The sequence below is a fragment of the Homo sapiens genome, chromosome 1 (genome assembly GCF_000001405.40).
Source record: "Homo sapiens chromosome 1, GRCh38.p14 Primary Assembly".
In the NCBI taxonomy this organism is placed as follows: Eukaryota; Metazoa; Chordata; class Mammalia; order Primates; family Hominidae; genus Homo; species Homo sapiens.
The window spans coordinates 95,299,801-95,326,829 of record NC_000001.11 but is presented as its reverse complement, the minus strand read 5'-3'; the positions used below and the strand labels follow the sequence as shown (position 1 = coordinate 95,326,829).

At 38.4% G+C, this 27,029-nt stretch overlaps 3 long non-coding RNA genes across 4 annotated transcripts, besides 1 other annotated feature; 2 read left to right on the top strand and 1 right to left on the bottom strand.

Moving 5' to 3' along the window:
* Positions 1–5,188: 5,188 nt before the first annotated feature.
* On the bottom strand, positions 5,189–8,483 carry LOC105379825 (uncharacterized). The gene is made up of 2 exons (XR_001737799.2): positions 8,416–8,483; positions 5,189–5,536 (listed from the first exon to the last, which is right to left on the bottom strand). It is a non-coding gene; the product is annotated as an uncharacterized LOC105379825 (long non-coding RNA).
* An 83-nt stretch (positions 8,484–8,566) lies between these two features.
* LINC01760 (long intergenic non-protein coding RNA 1760) lies at positions 8,567–15,902 on the top strand. Its single transcript, NR_135588.1, has 2 exons — positions 8,567–8,682; positions 15,637–15,902. It is a non-coding gene; the product is annotated as a long intergenic non-protein coding RNA 1760 (long non-coding RNA).
* LOC105378864 (uncharacterized) lies at positions 8,847–11,042 on the top strand. Of its 2 annotated transcripts, none has more exons than XR_947612.3 (3): positions 8,847–8,919; positions 9,893–9,948; positions 10,856–11,042. It is a non-coding gene; the product is annotated as an uncharacterized LOC105378864 (long non-coding RNA). The 2 variants fall into 2 exon arrangements; XR_947611.3 differs by having other exon boundaries at positions 8,881–9,006.
* Positions 17,523–17,817: an enhancer, noted in NCBI's record as "tiled region #5488; K562 Activating DNase matched - State 12:CtcfO". NCBI's record gives its function as "activates a minimal TATA promoter and a strong SV40 promoter by Sharpr-MPRA in K562 cells {active_cell/tissue: K562}" and the evidence as "EXISTENCE:reporter gene assay evidence [ECO:0000049][PMID:27701403]".

Genomic DNA, 27,029 nt, shown 5'->3' with positions numbered 1-27,029 from the left:
TCTAAAGTCTTATAAAGCACAGCACAGAGTGGATGATTAATAAATGAATACACTTTTTAAAAAGGAATTGCTCAAGGTAATTGCCTCATTGCATATGTTTTTATTTTAATTCATGGCAAATAGTTAGGACACAATTTTCATCCATTTATGAATGTCCTCCATCTGCTGGTGATTTCGCCGCTCTTTTCCACCATTTTTCACATAGGATCTTTTTATCAATGCCCTTTTTTAAAAGCTTTTCACCACTAAATGAGTTACATTTTCCCAAACAAACTATTTTCAAGAAGTTTTTACTGGGGAGGGGCCAGGTGGCCTTTCAGGCTTCATTCCCCTTCCTGTTGCCCCAGAAATAAACTGCTTCCTTCAAATACAGCTCATCTTTGGTTTCTTTGCTCAGCCCTCTCCTGTATTTCTCAGAGCCAAACCAGGATAGGAACACTTTTGCACCGACCCTGCAAACCTCAATTCCAGAACAACTATGTTAACCTTAGCACTTCAGGTGAGTCCTGCCCCTTCAGGATGAGTATTTTTGCTGGCACTTCCTCCAATTGCCACCCCTGGGCTCTCTTGGTGTTGCCTCCTTCTTTTTCCTCCTTGGCGGCCACCGCACAATTTCAGTGTCTCCTGGCAGCCTTTACAGATGTTGCACAGTCTATGGTTTATATTTGCCTTTGAGCTTTTCGTTTTCAGTTTGTTTTTTGGTTTTTCTTTTGCATAATTTCTAGGACAGGAAGGGGGAAATGCTGCTATGCATGGCCTGGTTTATATCAGAAATCTGACAACATTTTTAGCAATATACTCTTGAGAAGCTTTCTGTTTCCCATTTTATCATGGTTGACTTTAGTTTTGTTACTCTGATTTTAATGAATTTACCCTCTGTAAAAATAGTTTGCTTTTTTCTCACATTATGTGTATATAAAACTTGCTTTGTCCATTGGAGGCTTTCTTAGCAAGAGTAAAGCATCTCATCTGGGAAAGCATAAAAATAATGTAAAGGGAATGATAAGCCCAGATGCAATAGAATTCTTCCACTCAGTCAATCCTGAAACGGGGGCAGGATTATTGCAAACCAACTTATGATGCCTTACCAGCTGCTGAATTGGATCTCGCTTTAACTCTGCAAGATAATGGGATGAACTTATTTTCTTTCATGTAATGAAACCAGGATCTTTCATGGTCAGTAAGAGTAGGGAAGCATCTGGATTCATTGACTGCAACAGACCTTAATAGTGTGTAACTCGCTGGGGGAAAATTGTGTGTATCATATTGTCATTTTGCATCTGTTACTCTGATTAGGATCACTGTAATACATTCAAATTCATTAATGGCAGCTACTTTGGATCCCTAAATAATTAATGGCATCATAGGTGTCTCCCTAAGCAACAACCCGATGGCACTGTGTATTAGGCAGCACTGTGAGCTCAGAATAAACAGCTCTGACACAGCGACATCTGTTTTGTCAGGCACCTCCTCTTGCACCAGCTTTCCTTAGCTGAGCTTGGGAAAATGGGCAGAAGCAAGAGTAGAAATCAAAGGAGAGAATCAAGTAGACTCTGTGCAGTGGTTTAATGTGAAATGCAGGATGCCAGGTCCCAACTTATCCCATGAATTAGAATCCCTGGATGGTGGAACCTGGGAATCCGCCTTTTAATAGACACCCCAACGATTCTTATGTGCCCTATAGTCTGAGAAGCTCGGGATAGAGACCTCTCTCCCAAAGGAAAAAAAGACAGCAAGATAGGGAAAATGTTATGTTGTGGATCCTAGCCCACTGGGGTACTATAATATAGTGTGTGAATTTTTCTTACCCTATAAGCTTAGTATGGTTCTAAAGCTTGAAGGAAAGAATTTCTCCTACTTCTGAAATATAAATAAAACATCCCCATGCCCACACAATTTTGTTGATTTCTGCATGTACTCTGAGGATGAGCAGATGTCCCCATGTGAAGCAAAAATGTTAATATTCTGAGACTTCTCCCAGAGTAACTTAAAGAAATAAAAAGCCAATTTATTAGACTATGATTAAAAATGCACACACAATTAACTGTGGAAGTGCTTGTTTCCCAATATCCTGCGGACAACAATTTTTGGCAGATTTTTCAACTTATCTGCATTTCATCAAAGTAGGAGATTATACAAATAAATGGCAGTGGCATATCCTAGGGCACTAAAGAGGTCATGAAAAGATCTATAATCCACACAAATTGCAAGTGTTAATAAAGATAATGTCCTAGTCAGGAACTGTGAAGTTAATGTGTATTTGTAAATATCTAAAGAGTAGATGGAGAGAAGAGAAAGAGAGGGAGAAAAGAAAGCAGAAACTGAAGGTTGTAGAGGGGACCAGGAGAAAAGATGGAAGAACTCTGATGCAATTTACATCCCAGAAATCGCTCTGCTGCGGTTGCAGAAAGCCAGCCCGGGTTGTCTTTCTTCCTGGCTGCTCCACAGAATGCCCTCCAGAAAATAGCCATAAATGAGCTCAGTAGCCTCTCACTACCACAATTAGAAAATCAAACTATCAGCAGCATTTCAAAGTAAATGAAGGGAACCAGAGGATGAGTGCAAATTCCAGGTGTCTAAGTTTGTACTCACACAGTAAAATAATGCCATGGACACAGTGGGGCTAATACAGGGCAAGCAAGAGACATCACTTGCCAATGAAAGTGGGTATTAAAAGAGGAACAAATTTTAGCACAATGTTATTAATAGCCACCATTTGTCAGGGCTTACTAGGTGTCAGCATTTATTTATTTAAATTTAATCCTCACTGCAGTCTTTACAGGTTGCACTCAATTTACTAACGAGAAAACTGCAATTGTAATAAGGATGCTCATCTAGTGAGCAGCGGAGCCAGGATATGACTCCTGCATGTCTAACTCTGACTTCCATGCTTTTAACCACAATTTTACTGTGGAAGATAACATATCTCTTCAGTGATACAGGGTTGCCCTCCTGGTAAGATATGCAGGAGAGTCTGCATCTATGAGTGTACACTCAGTTTGGCTAAATGAGAGATGCCACGACATATAGGACAACTAATCTGGCTTTGGACTTATGGGCAGCACACTCTTTGGATGAGGGCTGAGACCAGAAGTCAAGAATTTCTGGTTCCATTAAACCATAAGTTACATGTAGACAATAAACATTCATTAAATACGTGATTTAATTTTGCTTTTGTCTATGTGTGTTCCCAGTGTTAAACATAATATTGCCTGGTACATAGTAAGTGACCCCAAAAATCCATGATTAATGAGTCAATAAATACATGAACTAGTGAATAAATCAATCAGTGTACAGAGAAATGTGCATTCCCATATTCATCTCTAGGAAATTATTGCACAGAGAGCAATACACCAACCCTAGATCATCAATCTTTTCTTGCCATATGTGGGTCCCAAAATTTTTTCACAAGTAAAGGGAATATGGCATTGTCATAGTTACTTGTATAACAGAATGTGTGCTAACAGCAGTAATGAACAAAGACCGGGCCATGAGCAGTCCCAGGCTGATGACTCATACACCACCAGAGCCTTTTGTCCCCAGCCATTATTTTCCAGCATTTTCTTGCACTGCCCTTTTGCTACAAGAATCAATCTGGATTTAATCATTTGCTCTTTAACCTGAAGCATACAGATTTATAGCACACTTTTTAGGGCTATGGGATCTTTGTTTTGGATTTTCTATAGTTTAAAGATCAATTTTGACTAATCAGAGCTAATTAGAGATCAACAAACCCTTCCAATCTCTATCTAGGGCCTGGGCAAGTGTTAAAAACCTACATGATTTCTAAGTCAAAAGTCATTCCACAGGCAAATATAGGAAGAAACCATGTTTGGCAAATGTAATTTCTAGTTGTGCAGCTTTCAACTGACAAATGCCTTAATGATGGAAAAAACAAAGGACAGAAACTAGACCTCCTAGGTTTCCAAAATGTTGTTATCACTATTAGATGTGTGACCTTAAACAAATCACTAAGCCACACTAAGTCTCAGTTTGCCCAACTGAGTAATGAATTGTTGAACTCTCTGTTAGGTGTATAAACACACACATGTCATTTTATTACAGTCCATCTTATTCCATAAGTTTGCCTTGTTTATCAACAAGCTTGTGAATTACTTGAGGGTGTGTCTTAAATTTTCTTTTTTTGTCTCTTCCATTGCTTCTAGAACGCTGTTAAATACAAAAAGCTGATCAGCAGTGAACTAGATTGAAGTAAATCAAGGTTCCTTGTGTTTGCCTACCAAGAATATGAAAATCTTCCCAAATTTATGTAAAGAAAACTCTTCAGGAATCAGAACAATATGCTGCATTTCTATAGGGTTTTTCTTTTTTGTTTTATTTCTCAGATATGTGTGATCCCTTAAATACTGTGTGTGTGCATGTATTTAAAACAATCTGTGCTTCTTTCACTCTTGGTTAAAAATTTTATTGGTTTTGTACATAAAATTCCCAAAGTAAAATTTTCATTGAAAATGGAAAATACTCAATTTCTGTTTGCACTAAGTGGCTGACAATTAACAAATGAGTCACATGTATTCCCTTCCTGTAACTAATGCACTGCAAGCCGAATTCATCAATTACAGCAAGGACACAATATTCACTTTACCAAACATCCAAGTTTCTTAGCTGTTGATCTTTTTGTGTATGTGTTTGCTTTCTCATTCTCTTTCTATGTGTTCTATTCATAAATTGTGTCCAGCAAATTGTGGCAAAGGTGTCTCCCTTCTCTATTGCCACTTTGCAATCTATACTTAACTGCAGGGTAACAACAATGGAAGCCATCACTAACAGAGCCAACTCTAGCCCTCTAAATCTGCAACTACAGCTTGGGAAAAATCTTGTATCAGGGTGTTACATGCTAGATTTAATGTGAATGTTGTAGTCTGAAATGAAAATTATTTGTACAGCTGGAATATAACATTTGCATAAGTTACAATTAAAAGGGAAAATATAATTACAAATTTTCAACTTAATTTGAATGGTTTTTAAAATGCTCATTTGGCATAGGCAACAGCTTGCAGGCAAACAGAACACACTCTCAGAGTTGCATCCCTTTGTCTGGGTAGCAGTAGTGAGCTCATTTTGAAGTGCTTGCTTTAACCCCTGAATCCCAACAGCAACCAGCATTGAGAACCTAAAGTACAAGGCAATGTTTGTTTTCAAAATAGGATTACAACATACACAGTGATTCATAAATATTTGCATCTTTTAATTGTTTCTAAAAATGAAGTGGCAAGTGGCATCGCACAGGAATGTTATTTCTCCCGTGGAGCGAATGAGCAGTGGAATTTTAACTAGTTTCATTCCCTTTCAGTTCTCAGATCTGAGATCTTCGGTCACATCTCCTGTACAATGTTTTCCTCATATCACAGTCTCTTTAATGGCTCCAGTTTCTGATTTTTTTTTTCCTCCTTAATTACATGTCCTTTTCTTGTAGCTACTTCATGCTGAAGGCATGTCATTCTTCTCAGAGACAGTCTTGGCTAGGTGTCCGTGGACCGAGTCCATTTGTTCATTTGTTTTTAGGATTTCTTTTCTAAGACGCAAAGGAATCCTTTTATTATCCTCAAACACAAAAAGTGAAATTTTCATAAAATACTTTGTACAGCGTACAGCATGTTTACTTGAAACCCTGCTTCCCCAAAGTCATGATATCTGTGATTATTATGTAACATGCATTGTGTTGCATCAATGGGTTTTGCAAAAGAGAGGAAAAAGAGAAAATTATTCCATTCTGTCTTTCCCAGCAAAAAAGCATCCAAAAAGACATATAAATAAAAAAATTACTATGACTGTGAATTACACAATGAACTGTGCCTTTCTATTTTCCCGATCTTTCTTTTCACAGCTATCTCCAAATAATGAGATACCAGAAGATGCTCTTGAAAAAAAAAATAAATTATAAAAACTGATCCTTTGTTCTATTTACCCTGGAATCTGAAAAGGAAACTCCGTGCCAAAGAGAAAAACATAAAGTAATAATACAACCCAATTTTATATTTTTCCTGAGAAACTACAAAGGTACTCAGTTAATCGAGAGTATTATTAAGTAGTGTGATTTTTTTAAATCGCAGAAATCTTTCTTATTTTAGGAAGAACAAATACATAGCAATGAGAAGACCACCACACCACCTTCAGGAAAATGCTCCTTACAATGACTTGCTGAAACCAATGACAAAACCACATCGTGCCCTTGTGGATAATCATCTTTTGGGCAATGGACTTAGAATAACTTCATCACACTTAACTGGGATGTAAATTTAATACATACATATAATAAGTGCATATAAATGTAATTTATCTTGAAAAGAATTCCAAGGTCTTAATAAATATTATGCTGGGTTCTATAGCTTCTTTCCTAGTCCCTCAGCTTTCCCATTTCTTTCCTCTTTGATGCATAGTGGACAATTGTATCAGCCCCTAGGTTTGTATTCAAAGTCATAAGCCAGTAGCAGGCCATTTCCTCGAATGATATTTCCCAAATGGTGAAGATTTGTCACTGGCAAGATCATTTTAGTTGCCCATACCCCAGTATTTATCTGTTTTTTAAAAAATATAACACACTTGTGATTTCACCAGTTTTATCAAATAATAAGAATTTATCCAAGAATAAGGCTAAATTATTCCATTTTAAATTGATAGAAAGAAAATATTGAGAAAAAAAACCAGATGGTATGCAGATAGAACAAAGATCATGAAAGAGGTATGTAGATGACTAAAGTTTAGGAAACTGTCCTAGAAAAATCACTTCTCCATCAAGAGCTGAGCTCTTAAGGGAAAAAAAAAAAAAAGAAAGAAAGGAAAAAAAAGTACTCAAAAAATTTTTGGAAAAAAATTAAAGCCCCAGAAAAGAACCAAATATTTCTCATTTTTACTTTTCCCTTTGATTCATGAAAAACATTTTTCAAAAAGACCAAAAGCACCACAGCACAAGGACTTCCCTTGAATGCAAAGAACAGATCTGGAGAAGGCACTCTAGAGAAGATGTAGACATTTTTTGACAAGGCTCCTCCCAAGAAGCCAAGGTGTCAAGGAACGCCTCAGGTGAGTTGAGATGGCGAGGGTTGCCGCTAGCAGCTCCACAGGTCACACGAGGGCAGGACTGGAGTGCTGCTGAGCACCAGGCGAGGATCGCCCACAAATGAGGGACACAACCAAGGGTGCGGTGGTGCGGGAACAGCCAGCCACTCTATCTCCCAAGCTCCCGCCACTCCACATCTCAGGTTCCCTCTGCCTTCCCTTCCCTTCACTCCCTTCCTTCCTTTCTTTTCTCCTCAACTGTGTTTCACCAACTGAACTGATTATAACTGTGTAAAGTATATTTTTATTATTGAATTTCTTTCTGTAAAGTTCTTTGTTTTCTCTTCTGAGTTTTAAATATATGGGTGACTTCAAAATTTTATATTCCCAGTTCCCCAAAAAGGTTAGAATTCAGCTAAAAATGGTGATACGTTGGCTTTTACTTGTATATGGTTGTGAGATAGATATTTTGTGTGATTTGGTGTCCACTCCCACCCCCACCATTGAAAATAGAGCAAAAATTGGAGCTGAGAAAGGAATCATTTTCCCTATTTGGTGGGAAGAGTATTGCATATGCAATACATTACGAGAGTAATTTTGGGAGTGAAAAAGACAAGGAATATTCTCGAGAAGGATGTTTCTGAGAACCTTTGTGTTTTGGTGTTCTTTCTACTATCCTAAAGAAGTCACACCATTTCCAGGGAAATCTAGAGTTATTCACCATTAAGACAAAATAGGTCATTCTTAAAATGTTCCTTTACATCATTTTTTATACAAGCTGCACCTCCCAGAGTGAATGTCAGAATCAATGGGTTGGGTAGAACAGAAGTTTCCACCCTCATTTCCCCAGAGCCCTACCTTTGATGGGGGGCGGGGGTATTAAAGGATGAGGGAAAGGGGCGCTAGGAGGAATGATACCCAGGCTCCACCACCTCCTTCAACAACCACAGCCCCACTTTTGTCTGTTTAATAGAGCAATCATTGAAAATTTCCTTTGAAAAAAAAGGGTCTCATGTTTTAAAAACTTGGAACATAATGGGAATAGAAAAACTGATGTGCCTGGATTAACCCTGGAAAAACAGGATACAAGTTATAAAAATGATGAATGTTTCTTCAGACTAATTGTTTCTTTCTAATTCCTCACAAGGCTCATGAAACTATATGCTGTTCTCCTGTGGGATCCACTAACCTTGCACCTTGTGAATCACTCTCCACTCCCCTCACTTTCTAGTCCTCAAGCTGGGGTGGTCAAGGGTTAGGGGAGAAGCAGGTGAAGTAGGGAGGGCACATAAAACAGATGGATTGGGCTGCTCTCCCCTACAGTTTTATATATGCTTGCCAAAGAAGTAAGACCTCTGTACTGATAAGAGTAAGATAAGTCTAAATGTTTCTTACAGACAAAGTTGACAAGATTCAAAAGTGGTTTGGGTAAAAGAGACTCAATCCTAGAGGGGCATTTGATTCCAAAAGGGAAGAAGACGTACTTCATCTGGAACATCGTGAAGTCACAGAAGAACTTCACAAGTGTTCCGATCGGAAGGGAGCCCTTTGAGTAAGTGAAATGAAGCGTGAATAACTGCCTAATTAGTGGACATGAAAACTGGACAGTCTCCAAAGTCATCAGAGATGACCACGCTTGCCAGGCAACTTACTAGACTAAGGGTGAGTCCATTTGTAATCATCCCAGCTGGGAGGTGGCTGGGAGGTTTGACCTAGGGCTCAGAAGACTGGCTAACCTGGATAAAGCCATTCAAGACAATCAGGTGTGACATTATCTCCATGGCTGAGGTCTTCTGGAGCAGTAGTTCTAGAACTTCTTGGGGCCACTCCAATATAACAACACTCAGGAATCACCTCCCACTACTGCTGGGGCAGGCGGTGGGAACAGATGTAGAGAGGGTAAACTTTATTACAAGGAATGAGGAAAATGGAACTGATTTTGATAAGGGCCATTGTCAATCATTAGTTCACATGACAGCCATGAAGGTAGAGTCCTGTCCCAATCAATATTATAAGAGGGGAGTCCACAGACCACCCAGAGACCAAGGAGACATCAAGTAGCCTTTGAACCATAGATTCAAAACCTCCACTCAACAAGAATATCAGGGAGCTCTTTGATATCTAGCTTTCACGTGTTAAAGCTGTTACTAGATGCCTCTCCTTCCCACTCCTATTCTTGCCTAGATAATGAAGTCCAAATTCCCTAGCATCAAGGCTCTTCAAATTCCAGCCCATTCTACTTTCTCATCCTTCTCTCTTGCCATGCCTTGGCCTGTTCTCTGTCTTGTAAGGAATATAGGTTGCACTAGCCCCTTGGTCTGGTTATGTCCATTTCTAAAGTCTCTGGCAAAAACACTGTCATCTTTCAGGATGCAGTTCAAATTTCACTTCCTTCCCTACATAGTTCATGACTCCTTTGTGTTAAAGACACAGTTCAAGCGTCTACCTTAGCACCTTACTCGAAGAAGAGTCTGGGGAGAACAGTCCTTGCTTCAGCCTCAGTTCAGATGTAATTACACAGATCTAGCAAGCCAGTGGTGTGCACCCAGGAATCACATGGCACTGAGAGACTTAACTGACTAGGCTTGTTACCCCCAGGGTAACTGTGAAATAGGGCTTTGGAGTGTGGTATCAGTTTCTTGCATCTATCCCAAGCCTAGCCCCATAGACACATGTCTAGGTCCTTGTAGATGGGTGATTAATAGCATGCATCTAAAGCCAGTTGCCTGGATTCAGATCTAAGTTCTGTTGCTTGCTGGTTGCCTTGAGTGAGTCAGTTAACCCCTCTGGCCTCAGTGGAGATGAAAATAATATGGGTCTGTTGTGAGCATTGCACAAGTTAATGTATGTAAATCTCTCCCCACACTGCCAGGCACACAATGAGCCTCACGTAAGCATCAGGTACTACATTTAGGAAGAGAGATGGTGGTAAGTAAAAGTTTAAAATTATTCAATTTGGGAGCACAAGCCACACTAATTCAGAATCACTAATTTGAGAGAAAATTGAAAGAGGGTGATCATCTAACTCCACCATCCACTAGAAGCAGCTTAGCTCATTGAAGTGGTGGCACCGTGGTGGGGCTGGAAGCAAGGGTAGTCCCAGCAGAAGGCTTGGGCACATGACAGAGGCAGTGGTGCTCAGATAGAGGTGGCAGCAGGGGCAATGGCATCACCAGGTGGTCTCTGTGACACCCACAGGTGGTGTCTCAAGACATTCAAGGTGCTCAGTGAGTGCAGACTATGCAGGAGAAGTGACACAGAAGCCTGATGGAGGTGATGATACCCAGTGGCCATGGGACTTTGTCAGCAAAGGCAGTGATAAACAGCATGAGAGGTCAATACTCCGGGACACCATGGGGCAGACGTCAGCCTTATTCACATGCCCATGGGAGAAATTCCCTGGGGTCGACCAGAAGTGCGTGGTGGTGAAGCTTTGCCAGGTCCTCATGAATCCAGTGTGACAAATTCCTCAAATTACCATTGGTGTGAGCTCATTCTTCCAGAAGAGGAATATTGGGAAATCATAGAAAGCACAAGCTTTAGAGTTAGTCAGGCTTGTTCTCCATTCAACTGAACACACTTCCTGAGCACCTTTTTCATGCCATAGGCTCAGCTCTAGTTGGTAGAAACACCACAGTGAGCGAGGCAAAAAGTGTCCTCCTCACAGGATGTTCACCTTACAGAGGGAGACACAGTTGATAAACAAGTAAGCAAATACATTAATGAGAGGTTTCATGTGATAAAGGCTGTGAAGACAATAAAGTAGGTAATAATGCAGGAGATGAGTAGAGCAAACTACTTAAATAGAGGAGCCGGGTTAATCTCTCATTCACAGTGAGGATGCAGTGGCCAGAAGAGGCAGCCCAGGGAAGATCTGAGGTGAACCCTCTGGTTGGAAAGCCTTGGCAAATTGGAGGAATGAAAAGAAAAAAGAGTAAATCTACAACAAGGATCAGCAAACTCCAGTCTACAGGCCAAATCCAGCCTGCTGCCTGTTTATGTCAATAAAGTTTTATTGGAACATAGCCACACTCGTCTGCTTATTTATTATCTATGGGTGCTTTCATGCTAGAATAGCAGGGCTGAGTAGCTGCAAGGGAGACTGCATGGCCTGCAGAGCCTAAAATATTTACCTGGCCCTGTGCTGAGAAGTGTGCTGATCCCGGTCTAAAGCACTGTAAACAAGCTAGGGGGAGAACAGTAGGAGATGAAGTTTAAGGGTTCAGGGAAAGGTGGCAAATTCTGCAGGGCCTTGTAACCCATGGAAAAGGGCTGGGATTCTGTTCTGCATGTAATGGGAAGTCACTGGAAAATTCCAAGCAGGGAGCACGTGATCTGACTTATGTTCTTACAAGGCCACCCTGGGAGCTAAAGAAGAGTAGATTTCCAGTCTTTGGAAGATGGACCATAGGGCCAAGAGGCAGCCAGAAAGTCTATCAGGTGGCTACTGCAGAGCCCAGTGAGAGACAAAGGTGCCAGGGATGGGGACGGTAGCAGTGCCAATGCAACAAGTGGTCAAGGTATATTATTTTAGGTAATATTTTAGGTTTAACAGGCATGAGAACCCTTACTCCACTGTGTAACCTTAGGCAAGTTATTCAAATGCTGTAAGCCCAGTTTCTTGTCAAAAAAACCCTCAGAGCACTATTGTGTGGATTGAATTACAAAATACATCTGAGGTGCCTGTCAAAAAGTTAAGTGTTCAATAAATGTCAACTATGATTACTGTTTGTTGTTGTTGTTGTTGTTGTTGACTGATGAGACCTGTGGAAAGATCAGGTTGCAGCATACAGCTCATTGTGTCAGTTAATGGTGCTCTTCTCTGCCTGATTAAATTTCTGAGTTCCCTGGAGACAGGGAAGCTCCGTTATTCATCTTTATGTCCCCAAAAGTGTGCCTGGCACATGGTAGATGTTTAATAAATGCTTATTGATTAAACTATTATTTTTTAAGAAAGGAGGAGTATTATCTATTCTGCCATTTTTCACCAGAAGTGTTTTGTTTTCAGGATTGATATCCTGTGTCACATTTTTGTGACACAGAACCATTCCAAAGATACAGAGGTAGCTGTCTCTAGGGAAAGCTGGTACCCAGCAAAGGAAAACTCAGATGCTATTCTTTGGAAAACCTCTAACCTGATAAAATATGTCAGTGTTTGCAATAATATATTGAATCTGGGCTAAAAATTCACCATGCACAAGAAATCCAATCTTCACAGATACATATAAAAAATCTCTGCCATAATGTGGATGAGAACAATGAGTCCAAAAATCGTTGCTCTAATGTGTCAAGCTGTTTTCAGACTAATTTCAAAGTGGTTGGATATTCTGATCCCTTGCTCAGCCATATTAAAGGGTCCTCCATTTTGCTTTATTACCTCCTTCCTTTTATTCATTCATTATTCTGCCTTTAAAACTAAAAGGAGTTGGATTAAAATTGAGACTTCAGAATTATTTGTCAACGTTCTTATTCTTTGGCGTTAGCACTTACCAAAAAAGACTGGAAATCTACACTTCTTTAGAAGTTAAATTTTGTCATTATATGATAGTTTCAAATGAAATTAAATATGACACAAATTTTAAAATAAAAAATGACACCTGTAAAATACATACTCCTAGGTGACATTTTTATTTTTAAAAAGTGGTTAAATACCATAGTGGTCATACAATACAAAATTGTAAAATCTTCAAAGGGCCACAAAATAAAATGTTACCAGTTGCATTTACCTGTTGCATTCAGAATAACTAAATGTATTCTTAACACATACATGTTGCTATATCTGAAAGAGGAATTCTAATTTCTTAAAAATTAACAAATTAACACTAGGTGAGAAATCTCTTCGAGGCAGTCACCGAATCATAGCAGTACTACACAAACTTACCAATAGCTAACAAACCCTAAAAGAATGAGAAAATAAAAATAAGGAAAATACTTAAAATAACAGGACACTAAAAAAGAGGATCCCTTATTATAGTAAAGAAAAGGCTGAAATCCTTGAAACACCAGGCAGCAGCCATGAGGAGGGATTTTTTTTTTTTAACACGGAGCCTGGCATCTCACAAATAACGTATGTTCTATGTTATGTGGCAGTTGCTATGGTAACAACCTTTATTTTCTGAAACAGTACACAGATGTGTACAACATACTAACTTACTGGTTATAAATTACAGCTTTTCCCATAGTTCAATAACTTAAGAATTCTACGTTTTTGAAATCTCAGAAGTTCTGTTGTTATTACATTCTTTTATGAGATAATTTTCCTTGTACTTTCAAAATGAGAGTGCTCCCAAACATACCAAAAGAAAGGAGCAATGAGAAAATGGGGTATCTCAGAGAGCAGCAGTGCACTGAGTACTGGCTATAGAGTCTGTAGGAAACCCACTGAAAGAAGGAGAAAATTACTTTAATGAATTAGGTATCATGAACAATAGTCATGAGAAACAAGTTGCCAGCAAAATGATGTCATAAATAAAGTTATGAATTGATTTCCTATTATAAGGTGCCATATTTGCAGTTTTAAAATAAATGAAGATTATTTCTTAGAAGTGTTACAAACATTAATATAATTTTATAAGGTACAATAGTGTGGTTGCATGAATTAACCTGGTTTTTTTACTTCAAATGAAATCTTCTGAGTCTTGAAAAGACCAGAATCTGGGGGAACACTTATATTACTCTATTTAATATGGGATTAGTATCCCTTTGTCAGGTTAAAAAGCAAAAGACAGATTTTTACTGATTGGGATATTTTTATATTCCAACTTTAATCAACAAATACTTGAAAAGTGCCTTCTACATGCAGGGAGCTGGCTGTCCATGCTTAGATGCATATTGACATGCGTGGAAACATAAGTTATAGGGAAGTTCAGTTCTATAGATGATTTTTTTCCTATTCTAAAAATTTATGTTATATTTTCCATGTGGATCTGAATATTTTCTTTAAATAGGTAGTTCACATTGTAGATTTTTTAGAGTTGTCAGAAAAAAATCATCTCTGCAGCATTTATGAGGTGAGAGTTCATTACCTGGGAAACATTTGAAAAATAAGCTTGTATAGCTAGCATTTACAGTTAAAAACCATCTATCTTAAATAAGAAAAAAGATTTCTAATTATAAGAAAATTGTAAGTACCCTTACATAAAAAGTAACAAAGCACCCCTGATTTAGAAAGTCCAGAAACTGCACTGCTAATGGCTTTTCCTAACAAACATAAAACACTGGGAACTGCTATTTCAAGTCACAATACGGTTACATTCAAATTCAAAATTGTCTTATAGCAGCAATGACAATGAGAAACAATTGAATACTGTGCAGATAAGACCAAATCATTTTGAAAAGCCTGCACCATTAAGTGGTGGTTAAAATTTTTGCTAATGATTTCCACACATACTTCTTTCTATATCTTTTAGAGATATATTAAAAACGGGACCATGACTAATCCATTCAAATCCTTATGCTATCAGAGAGAGAGTGAGAGAAAGAGAGAGAGTTAAGTTATCACCTAATGGGGGCTTAGTGGCTAGAACTCAGAACCCAATAGAAAAAGAGTACTTCACTGCTAGGTGCATTTTAAAAGTATTACTTAAATTACATTTAAGTCATCAGATAATTATGAACTTTCTTCTCTTTTATATTTATATGGCATATTTATTGAATTGCACAGTATGCTTTTACAATAAAGTGCTTTTTACGTTGCCGCCTTTGTTCATCCAAAATAAAACTGACAGTTATCCTTTTATAAGCTATTCTGAGAACATTTTCTCTTCTTTGAAGCTGATTGATGCACTACTTTAAATGTTCCTGCAAATATCTTTTCAATTCAAGTTTTTGCATAATGTAATAAGAAGATAAAAGAATTCTATACTTCAACAAGAGACATTACAAAGCAAGTAGAGACATTATCAAGGGCATTAACTTGCTCCTAATAGCAATAAAACCTTTTAACTGTCTGATGTAGAACATGCTCCCACCAAACCACCACATATTATGGTAATTGGCTCCAATTTCTGAATCTTACATTGTAAAGTTACAAAGAGTTAGGCAGAACTGAAAAACAAATCTCTAATACTCATCTTGTTACTGTTCCCATTATAAGATGTTTACTTTTTACCTCTAAGGAGGACTGGTCTGCTCTGTTGTGCTGCTCTTTACTGTGCTATCATATTTTTGCATCCTGTCTCATTTTTATTTCTACTCACTGATATCAAGACACTTTTCTTCCCAAAAAACTCTTTTCTAACTCCAAAACATCACAGTAACACAAATAGCATTTTCCTGAGAATTTCAGTGTAACAAATGGGTTCTCTGTGCATGCCTGTGTCACGTCTCATTCACTTTATGTGTTCTCTCATCACTGGCAGATACGACAGGGAAAAACAGTCCATGAGGACGCTTTGATTTTTCTTTACAACGCGTTACTAAATGACATGAGTAGCCTTTCCATCCTGGCCAAGAGGAAATATAATTTCAAACTAAAGTTGAGTTCAGATTCTGTTAAATTAAATAGCAAAGAAACAGTCACTCTTGGTTTTATTCCTCTTAGACAGGAAGCAGGGCAGTGGGGAATTGACATGAGCCGTTCCTCGGTGATTAACCTGCAGTTTATGTTGTTTCTAGGTGACGTGCCCATCATGCAGGAAGCTTCTCCAAGGCTGGCGAGAGCAACTTGTCTGCTTTGAGAAATGCAGATCTATCAGGATCCAGAATCGGACTCTGAAAAAGCTGTCATTTCATGTCTCTAAAACAGCCTTTGATTTAATGTACAAGATGTCAAGAAGTAAAGGACAATAAAATAAAAACCAAAAAAGGAGAACTATTTCAATTAAGAAGCATTCCTATATCAATTCTTGGAAATCACATAAAATAAAAGCTGTCAGAATCAATCTCTGTTTAAAAGGCTGATTTTTTTGTGGTGCTTACATACAACATGCAAGACCAGAAAAAAATACAAATTACTAGCACAGAGCAGCCAAACTTAAAAAATCCTTTCTCATTAGAGAGATATCTGGTTATTAAATTTTCCTAATGGATCTAGGAAAAGTGTTTTTATGGCTGGGGCTGAGGACTGAGGAGAGAAGGAAAGAAATAAACCCCCATACAGAAAAAAAGTCACAGATGCAATCTCCAATTCTATATGAAGGAGTTTCATGCATTTCCAAAAATTTCATCTTTAATTGACATTAAAAGCCTCATATAACATTCTAGGAATCTACCTTTTATTGCTATGGGTTTTCAATGATGTTTGAATGCCTTTTTCAGAGAAAGATAAATATTTCTTGAAAGATTGCCCTATCACCCTAGTAATCAAATATCCTAAAGGCGAATTGAGAAAAAAATCTTTATAAAATCTGAGGCAACCTTTCAGTTAAGAGTATAATAATATTAAATAAAGATACAAGCATTGCCAAAAACAAATAAATAAAGCTCTTCTAAATGTGACTTCTTATTATGGAAGACATCACTTTCATTTTCATTTAGGTTTTTTTTGTTTTGTTTTGTTTGGGGTTTTTTTCTGAAATTTATTTATTTTTTAAATTGACAGATAAAATTGTATGTATTTACCGCATACAACATGATGTTTTGAAGTCTATATACACACTGTGGAATGGTTAAAGCTAGCTTATTAACATATGTTCATTTGTTCTTAAAATACACTGTTTAAGAAACATGTGTTACACTTCCAACTTTACTCCTGTCCTTAAAATTTTTATTATGCATTTTATTCCACATCTTTTATTGAAAAGGCTAATGGGCAGGGAAAGAAAAGATAAATTCATTTGCTGTCCCCCAAAAGGTTTGTATACATCAGGGGTATACCCCTTTCAGTGGCCTATTTCTGGCACCTTTATTTTTTAAAAATCAAGTTTTTCTGAAGGGGACTATTTAAAGAAGAAAATCCACTCCTTCATCATCAAATCAAGAACTTTTCTTAAAGTAAGCCTTCCACAGGCAGTAAGAGAAACAGCCTAAGAAGTTCCTCCAATCAAAAGAAGAAAAATAACAAAATCAGCTCACCCGTGATTTCCTTAATATACTTAAAAGAGATAAAATCCCACTGATGCCTCTAAAAATAAAAATGAGGAAAGGGCAACTTTATTGATTCCCTGCAAACCAACGAACGTGTAGCTTATTGATAACACTAAACACCATCTAAGCCTTTAGTGATTTTCAACCAAAAGTCTGTCTCTGAATGATGGTTTAAATCATCGTATTAATATATTAGGGTAAAATTACCATGGGAGACACTTGGAAATTAATTAAAAACCCTGCACTCAGTTTGTTTGTGAGAGAAGATAAATATCACACATGGGAAAAGATGCCTGACAACCGCCATAGTTTTCAGATCCAAATTAGACCCTGACAGCTATGTCTTTGTATGACTCTCCTTGGGGTATGATAAGCAGAAATATAGAATATGAAGATTTCTGATAGAAGTATTTATTACTGACACTTCCGAAACATTCCATGTGTGGCATCAGCAAAGCATGCTTCACCTCAGACAGAAATGTCAGGTTTTCTTCCAAGATTTGTTTTTTTCTGTTCCTCTTCCCCCATTCCCATCCCTCCCTCCCCATCCGCCACTACCCCCCTTCTCCTCCAAAAGATGATCTTTTTTTAGAAGTTCAACAGCAGCCCCTGGTGGAACTCAGCAGTTGTTTCAGCCTGAGCACAGTTGTTAAAGCAATTCCATTCATCTTGTCAATAAAAAGAAAAGTCTGTACATGTGTATATTACCCCCTCAGTGTGCTGTTCCTGCAGGTCAGGGATCAGAATACAACCCTGAATGTACAAAGGCAGTGCTTTATGATGGTAATTTCAGCCAATTTCGGTAGCTGGAGTTTTGAAAAAATATATATATGTAACAAACAATAAACATCTGTCTCCAATGTCACATTCATTTTATGCATGAAGACCGATAATTAACTGCTCGTGAATAACGCTTACCACAGAGTGCGTCAAAGTGAAGAGGCTCCACACATGTGAGGGGGTGATCGCTATTTTGTTTGGCTCATGTTGTGACAGATTCAGCTTTGTCACTTAGCAAAATGAGCTATACAAAGTGACAAAGAAGGGATTCCTCTGGGTCAGAGCTCAGAAAGCACCACAGTATGCTACTGCTCCATCAGAATGGCAAGCTAGGCTTAACAAGAAAGCCCACCAACATGCTCTTCAGAGAGACCATCTCTACTCCTTTAGGGCTTGGTTGGCAGCCCCAGATTACCATGTGGGGCAAGAGGGAGATGTGTGGCTCTTTGTTTGCATTAGGCAGGGTCAGTCTCTGCACTTCACAAAGGTGCCTGGTAGAGGGGCTCAAAGCCAACTCTACTCCCTCTGGAGCCATCTCCCTAGAGAACAGTCACTTTTTTCTTAGCACAAAGGCAATGTCCTATTTCTAAACCCCATGCCTTTGGGGTTGCATCACACCAAAGGAGTTGCCTTCCCAATTCACACAGAGGTGCCATATAGGCTCCTGGTGGCTCAGATGCTAGGCAAGGAGAAGGAGACTTGCATAGTGAAGAGGATGGCTCTCTTGCCAGAGTCTCATGTGCGCCGGGGTTGAGGAACATAGCAGGCATTCACCCTCCAGAAGGCTCATGTTACGACAGAGGTAAAATGAGAAATTTACTCAAAGACTCAAAAGTCTACTTGAGTAAATTTATTCAATGTGTATTTCACTCGTGTATTTTGACTTTTCTCTTCTTAAATGATGAGTTTATTAAGAGGAAAAGCAAACAGTACTTTCAAAGCTTAAAATAGCTTCATGATAAATGCTAGGATCGAAGAAATATTATTTTAAGTGAAAACATGGTTTTTAAATTTTGAAAGTATTGTACTTCATATTAGCCCTTCGCATGACCCTGAAGCCACTTAAATCTCTGGACTGATCTCATGTGAGGCTAAATCAGGGAGCTGATGTTTTGAGACCAGAGAGAATCCCACGATAGGCCACTTACTGAGTGCCTAGTGGATGTCATGCACTGGGGAGGAAGAGGGATAGAAAGAAACAAGGCTTAGTCACTAATGAATTACAATCTAGTAGAAGAGACACATGTACCCAAATAATTTTAATATAGTGTGGGAGCAATGTGCAGAGTCCTAAGAAATACATGGATGCCCTTAGCTCAGCCAAGGGGTCAGCAAAGGCTTTTCACAGGGAAGACACTTGCACTGACTTAAAGAAAGATTAGAAATTAGCTACAGAAAAAAGGGGGAGAAGACATTAGAGGGCAAAATAGAAGAAAAATTACTATGTCCCCAGGAGTGAAGGTGTAAAACTACATGGTATATCCAAAGAACTCCAGGCAGCTTGATATTGCCAGAGCATGAAGTATGGTATGAGAAAGATGGGAGTGAGGCAGGAAAGACTAGGAAAACCTTCTCTGCCCTCCCAGAGAGATGGGATCTGTCCTATGGGTCACGGAGAACAATTAAAAGACTTTATGTAAAGGAATGACCATATAGGGAAGGAAGGAGACTGAAGGTCTGTAGACTGACCAGGAGTTTGTTGTGAAAGAAGATAAGGATCAAGAGAAAGAGGATAAGGACCTGAATTCTGGTGGTGAAGATGGGGCTGGAGACGAAACGGTAAGTATAAGAAATGTTCAAAGGTCAACACTGAAAGAAGATAGTGTTTTATTGGATATGGACCCTGAGGGATGGGTCTTAGATAACTCCTAGGTTTCCAGCATAGGAGACAACATAGATTGTGGTGCCATCAACAGGGTTAGAGACTGCAGGGGTCGGAATAGGTTTGAGGGGAGAAGATGACACTCTAAAGAAGTACTTCTCAAAATACGTCCTCAAAAACCCTCCACTGGCCTCCAGACAGCTCCTTGTAACACTGATTATTAGCACTCCCCTTGAATGTCACAGCTGGAGAGTGACCTAACAGATCATTAAGCCTGGTCACTTTACAGCTGTGTGCCGTCAAGTTGAGGGGTGCTAGGGCAGGTAGGACTCCAGAATGCCTCCCCAGATGCAACCCAGGAGGGTCTACTTTTACCTAGTGTGTATATTATAATTCTTCATAAGACTTAGATCACAAAAAGAAAATCACAGTTTGAAAACCACTGACAACCTCTTCTTTTACAGAGAGGAAACTGAGGCCCATGGAGGTGAAATAATTTGTCCACAGATACAAGTCTATAGCAGAGGCTGAGCTAGATCCGTGACACAGAGTTCATCACATGTCAATTCCAAGTGTCCTCCATGCTGTGGTTTCCTCCATGAAGCCACTGCTTTTGCTGTGTTTTTTGGAGCTAGCTTCAAAAACCTCCTTTTTAAAGAAACTCAGTTATCAGCTTCTTCAGTTGTATTTATTTAATAAATATTCATTGAACATCTTCTGCATGCCAAGCCTTCTTTTTTCAAGAACACCTGAGCATCTCTGTTTGGATTCCCAGTTGTAATTTTTGATTCTTTGGGAGTTCTGACAGGGTCTTCAACTAGTGTTCCACTATAACTGGATGTGGTTATGACCCAAGAGGGGTTTTAGTCCCTAGTAAAGAGGGTTAACATCAAAGACATGGGTTTCCTAATTCACTGGAAGATTACAGCTGATTTACATGTTTAAGGTAATTTTTGAAAATATGTTTTTAAAAATCTATAAATTTCCTAAGGTATTTTAAGATTCTATTCATAATTTTTTAAATAATTACTTTTCAGTGTTACATTAATTTTTTCATATATACATATAAGAACTCGCTGGAAATAATGCCCCAAAACTCAATAAACCTAACTTTACAAAACTGAGAACTGGCATCTGAAATAATTACAGGATAGATTGTTTTCCAAAAAATGAGAATTCACATAAAATAAAATAAATTTGATAACCCCTTCCTCCCCATCATACTAATTCAACAGCTGCTTGTACTGACAGGGTAATTCCTAAAACAAGGGAAAGCAAATCCTTGCTCAATCTAGAAAAATAGAGACAAATGTAGCTAAGGGGTTACAACAACCTGTTGACCTCTTTCCAGTCTTGAGAATCTTGTCTCAGGACTCCCAGAAGGGAGCAGCGGCTTGCTTCGTTGTAAAGCGTGTGAGTCAGGGTAGAAACAGGAGCCAGCCAGAGAAAGTCCTCCTGCTCATGGACTGCCAGAGATGAGATTCGCACAGGCCTTTTCAGGAACATTATATAACATCTCGCTGCAGGAAGGAAAACCACTGCTCAGTCTCTCCTGTTGGGGAATTCATTCTTCATCTTATGAAGCTCTTTAAAATATAGGGCCAAGGAATCAGTCTTTCTTCCACTGCCTCTTTACACTTCACCACCCAGCCCCACCCCGTTTTCTTTCTGTACTCCTCCCATCTGCAAATGGTTTTTAAAATCAGAAATTCTGTGTATATCAACAAGTATAAAACCCAGCTAGCAGGGGTGGGTTGCAAGAACAAAGAAGGGGGGAAAAAAGGAGAAAATCCAAGATTATGGTACAAATCGATTACAAGGCTCACTCATTACAGCCTATTTCTTTTTTTTTTTTTTTTTTTTTTTTTTTTGAGACAGGGTCTCACTCACTCTAATCATGCAGGCTGGAGTGCGGTGGCATAATCATGGCTCACTGCAGCCTTAACTTCCCAGACTTAGCTGATCCTCCCACCTCAGTCTCCTGAGTAGCTGGGATCACAGGTGCGCACCACCACACCTGGCTAATTTTTTAGTAGAGACATGGTTTTACCATGTTGCCCAGGCTGGTCTTGAACTCCTGGGCTCTAGAAATCACCTGCCTCAGCCTCCAAAAGTGCCGAGATCGCAGGTATGAGCCACCACACCCAGCCTAACCCATTTCTTTATAGGTGAGAAATCAAAGTGACTCATCTAAGATTACTCCACCCACTGTTCTCACACAGTGGTATTATTGAGTATAGGAGACAAATAAGCAAACAGGAAAGTTTTAAAGATCAGGCAAAAGCTTTACTGGCTCCACAGGCCTGCATTTCCATCAGTTTCGTTTACATAGAAAAGCATATTAGTGAATGGTCACAGTGAATCTTAGAGGGAGCAAGCATATGGTTAGTGCTTATCCCCATTACCTCTCGAAGTCCAAGGAAATTCAGAGTTAATCTTCTTTTGAGATGATCATGTTTTGGATATTTTGATCTGGTGTCCTGGAAAATCTCATTTAACAGCAGTTTTGTTGATTCACTCAACAAATGTTAACTAGAAGCTTACTTTACACCAGCCCTCCAAAGTCGTGAGCAAGACAGCCCAGGTCTTTTACTCTCTTGCTTATCTGTCTTAACCTTGTCACTGCATGGTCATGGTGCTGGAGCCACATTTCTTTCCCAAACCCAATAAATGGACCTATCAGCTTTTTCTTACAAAGTAGTTGAAAATGGCTTAAAAATCTCTTGAAGCTCATGTTCTGTGTCATAAATAACAATATTGGTTTATCATCTCTGTATGCCTCCTTCGGGTGTTCTGGCTTCCTTCTTTCTGAGAATTCTTCTGCCATGTGGACTGGCCTTGTCTAAATGCAATGACACTGAGTTACACATTAATGGAACTCCACGTAGCACATGAAGCCTCAATGGGAACATTTAACAAAATGAAATGCTTTGGTGAGCTCTTCAAATTCATTAGAGTCCAATGATCAAAGATGTCCTGGAACAGATAACTAAATGTGGATTGGAAATACGAGGTAGATAGGTCACAGAGTCTTCTGGCAAGTCCTTGGAAACATCAGATCAAATGCCAAAGGTCTAAAATGCCAAAGGTCTTTAGTATGACTATGAAATTAGTATAGGCCCACATCCCTAGGAGTGAAAAAACTTACACTGGGTCTAAAACATAGTCGATTGCCTATGAAAAAGCAAATTGTCAAATAAAAAAATGGAAAATGTGACCCAGCTCTGGGAGGCAATGGTCCTAGAGATTAAAAATGTGGCTCATCTGGTCCCAAATTCATAGAGACAGAAAGTAGAATGGGGGTTTCTGGGGCTGGGAGGAAAGGGGACTGGGGAGTTATGGTTTGATGGGTATAGAGATTCTGTTTAGAAAGATGAAAAAGTTTCTGTAAATGGGTGGTGGTGATGGTTGCACAACAATGGGAGTGTATTTAATACCACTGAACTGTAAACTTAAAACATAATTAAAATGGGAAGTTTTATGTTATATATATTTTAACACAATTTAAAAAGTGGAAGCTGGGCAGGAAAGAAGAGTATAATGGATTGTCCATATTAGTTCATTCTGCCTAGTTCCTAAACCAGAATTTACCCACATGAACATTTTGAGCTTTGACTTCTTCATATATAAATGTTAATCATGGTGCCAAATTCACAGTTGCTTGAAAGGATCAAATTAATTTTTGAATGTGAAGGGGTAAAGAAGCATGTGGCCCATCTAAGTATTCAACAAATATTACCTCTTATTACTGTATCTCTTCTGGATATTTCAACTTGCTGTTTATTACTATGAATAAAAATATTATACAATGCCTTCAATAAGTTTGTGAAAATTTCCTTTAATTACCACATTAGATATAACTTTTTTTGCATATAATGCACCATATGGGGAAAAAAAGTGGTTTTGAAATATTGTTCTTGCTTTCTCTACTTTTATTTTATTAAATTTAGTTAGGATAGGGTTAAAAGTCAAAGCAAACATCCTATCAGCTAGCAGTAGTCTACTGACACCAAAAAAGTCCCATTGGTATGAGAAACTGATTGCAAGTAGAATGGTCTAAGGATTCCTTAAAACAAATCTTATAACAACCCATGTCTTTCTCAATTACCAGAATGCTCTGTAATACCTGATAAGTATTTGTCAAGACAATATACATCAGTAAATTTAATTACACATTTATTGAGCTTATATTTTATACAAAATATTGTGCATGGTGCTCTAGGAAAAGTTACGACGTAACATACATGTCCCTGTTCTCAAGGAGCTGCTGTCATGAAGAAAAGTCAATTTCCTCAGCAAGTCTTGATTACATACTTCTCCCAAGACAATTCTGAATAAAGGTAAGAAAAACTGAAAATTTTTTCCAAACTGTAAGAAACCTTTGATTGAATCACTCTGTCTTATACCATAGCTTAGAGGATATATTTTCCTTTATGCATTCCGATATTTGAGAATAATGAATTCAAAAATTACTGGAAAAAGAAGATCTGTAATTGACTGCCTAAGGAAACTATAAAAATCCTTTCAAAATTCCCACCAGGAGTAGAAGCGAAGTGGATTCAGATACAATCTGAAATCTTCCCGAGCTTTCTCCACTGGAATTCTAATCAGTGAGACCCCTTTAAGCAGTTTTAAAGCTGCTTAATTTAAATACAGGAAGTGTTTCCTTAGGCCCCTAATACTTTGGCAGAGCTGATCCTATTTCCTGAGATTAAATAGAAGAAAATTCTTTCCTCAGGAGATTGAACCACACACAATAAGATCATTCATTAGAATGTTCATATAAATTCAAAATATACCAGGGGAAGACCAAATGTCGTCTTCATAAAGGGTAACAGCCTAGAAATGCTAAGTGGAGCCATGACTGGTTTTACTCTTGAGTTTTGGCCTTTGCGGAATATACGTTCCCCGGGAAGAATTATTGAAGTGACAACTCATTTTCACAATGAAACCAAGTACAAGACAGCTAAGATAAATAAATAAATTAATTATTAAATATTTTATTCTAAATAAAAACCATCTGTCAATATTGTTTGTTTTTTAACAATATTTATTCATGAAAATAAAGCTGTACCTTCTATAATGTGATCCTTACTCTACTTTGCACCACTTAAGACTTAGCAATAGGAAAATCTCATAAACTTTAGGAAGTCTGCATTTTGATCTGTCAGGGAAAGGGAAAGCTTAATACCAAAACCTGCTACTCAAATGCCTGATTGGTAAGCGGAGTGCAAAAGGATACCTCTAAAACTTTTGTATTGTTCCATAAAAGAAAGGGGAACACTTTGCCATCTCTTGCCATCCTTCTGTAAATTGACATCACCTCACTAAATTTGACAGCTAAATAGTGTTCTGATGGTTGTTGAGACTTGTGTGTCAGATTTAAAAACGTTATTGTTGAGGCTTACTTTGATGGTAAGATTTTAGAGGCCTACTTCCTTGCTAAACAAATGTATTATAGAGTGATGGATAACAGAGATTCTAAGGATTACAATGAGAGATCAAGGAGTTCACCTGCAATATCTATGCATTGACAGCCGACTTTATTGAAGTTTCACAATATTAACTGCCTCTCTGTGGACTGGCTTAACCAGGTAGGTGATTATCAATTTATCACCAGTCAAAACACAGATTGCTTCATGTACGGTGTCTGTGGCATAATCATGTACCTTGAATCTCATCAAACTCGAATGATCCTACTAGGATGATTCTTATAAGACTGAGAAAGAAACATTAATTGGGAACTTCTCTAATGAAATTGTGTCTAATTCTCAGTTTGATAGAACATCATTCCTGGAGCCTTGATTAAGAATTCACCATTCCAAAAGGGGGTAAAGAAAGCCTGAGAGATAGAATGGAGAGAGAACTAAGGTTTTCACTTCCTCTTCTTGAGCCTTGCTTCTTTTAACAATTCCTCACTCCCACTCCAGGGACAGAAGGCAAGAAATTGAAGAGTCCTCAAAATCCACTCCAGAGGGGAAGAATTGTGCCCTGAAACTCCATCTAGCAGTATACAAACTGACTGAATTGCATATAGGAAATTATCTGGGATAACCATGGACCAGCACCAAGATGCCTGCATGACCTATTTGGCCCTATTTTCAATACTGCAAGAGCTTTTAAGTTTTATAATTCCACTGTATTTTCTGAGTCTATCTTTTAACAAAATCTGACCTTTCTCCACACATTGAATTCCATTAGCTGCTATCCCAATTAATATTTGTTAAAGGCAGGCAATGAGAGAGAAGATTTTGGCCTTAAGTTTTTGTCTGATCAGGGCACAAATAAATAGCTACACTAGGCAGGGAACAGTATAGCCTGTAATCCTAGCACTTTGGGAGGCCGAGGCAAGAGGATCACTTGAGGCTGGCCAGGAGTTTGAGATCAGCCTGAGCAACAAAACAAGACACCATCTCTACAAAAAAATTTAAAAATTAGCCTGTGGTAGCGGCACACCTGTGGTCCCAACTATTTGGGAGGCTAAAGTGGGAGAATCACTTGAGCCCAGGAGGTCGAGGTTGCAGTGAGCTGTGATTGTGCCACTGCACTCCAGCCTGGGCAACAGAGCAAGATCCTGTCTCAAAAAAAAAAAAAAAAACTACACTAGCAAACACTAATTGACCACTATATTGACCAGGCACTATTCTAAGTACTTTTTCTATATTAATTTGTTTAATCTTCTAACCCTATGAGGAAAGTACTATTATTTTTCCTGTGTGATTCTTGAGAAATTTGATGAATAGAAATATTAAGTAACTTGCCCAAGATTACCCAGCCTGCAGATTGAGTGCCGGTGGATGACCCTAGAGCCTTATAAATTCTAAAACCCAATCTCTTTTCAGTCATACACTGATTAGATTGAGATTGAGTCTCTTTGCCCTTATTCTAGCTGCCTACCATTGTATGAAGTAGAACCTCTAGAGGAGTCATCTACAGCTTCTACAGTTTTTCATACAAAATGTCTGGCACTCAATTTTAAAAATGCCAAACGTACCAAGAAACAGGACAAAAAGTAAAAAGACAATAGAAACAGGGCCAGAGATGATGCAAATAATAGAGTTATCAAACTTGGATTCAAATGTTCAAAAAATAGAGGACAAGAAAACTTTGCCAAATGGAATCTTAAAAAAATCAGGTGAAAATGCTAGAACTGAAAAAAATATAATAAAGCTAACAATTCAATAGATGAGTTTAATAGTAGACAAAACACAGGTGAAAAGATTAGTACTGTAAGATATCTCAGAAGAAAATACTCAGACCAGAGCATGAAGAGAAAAAATAAAAATACAGAGAAGAGTACAAGAGATACACAGGAGATGGCAGAATCCTAACATAAGTGTTCTTGAGGCCCCAGAAGAGAATTAGAAAGGAAATGGTGGCA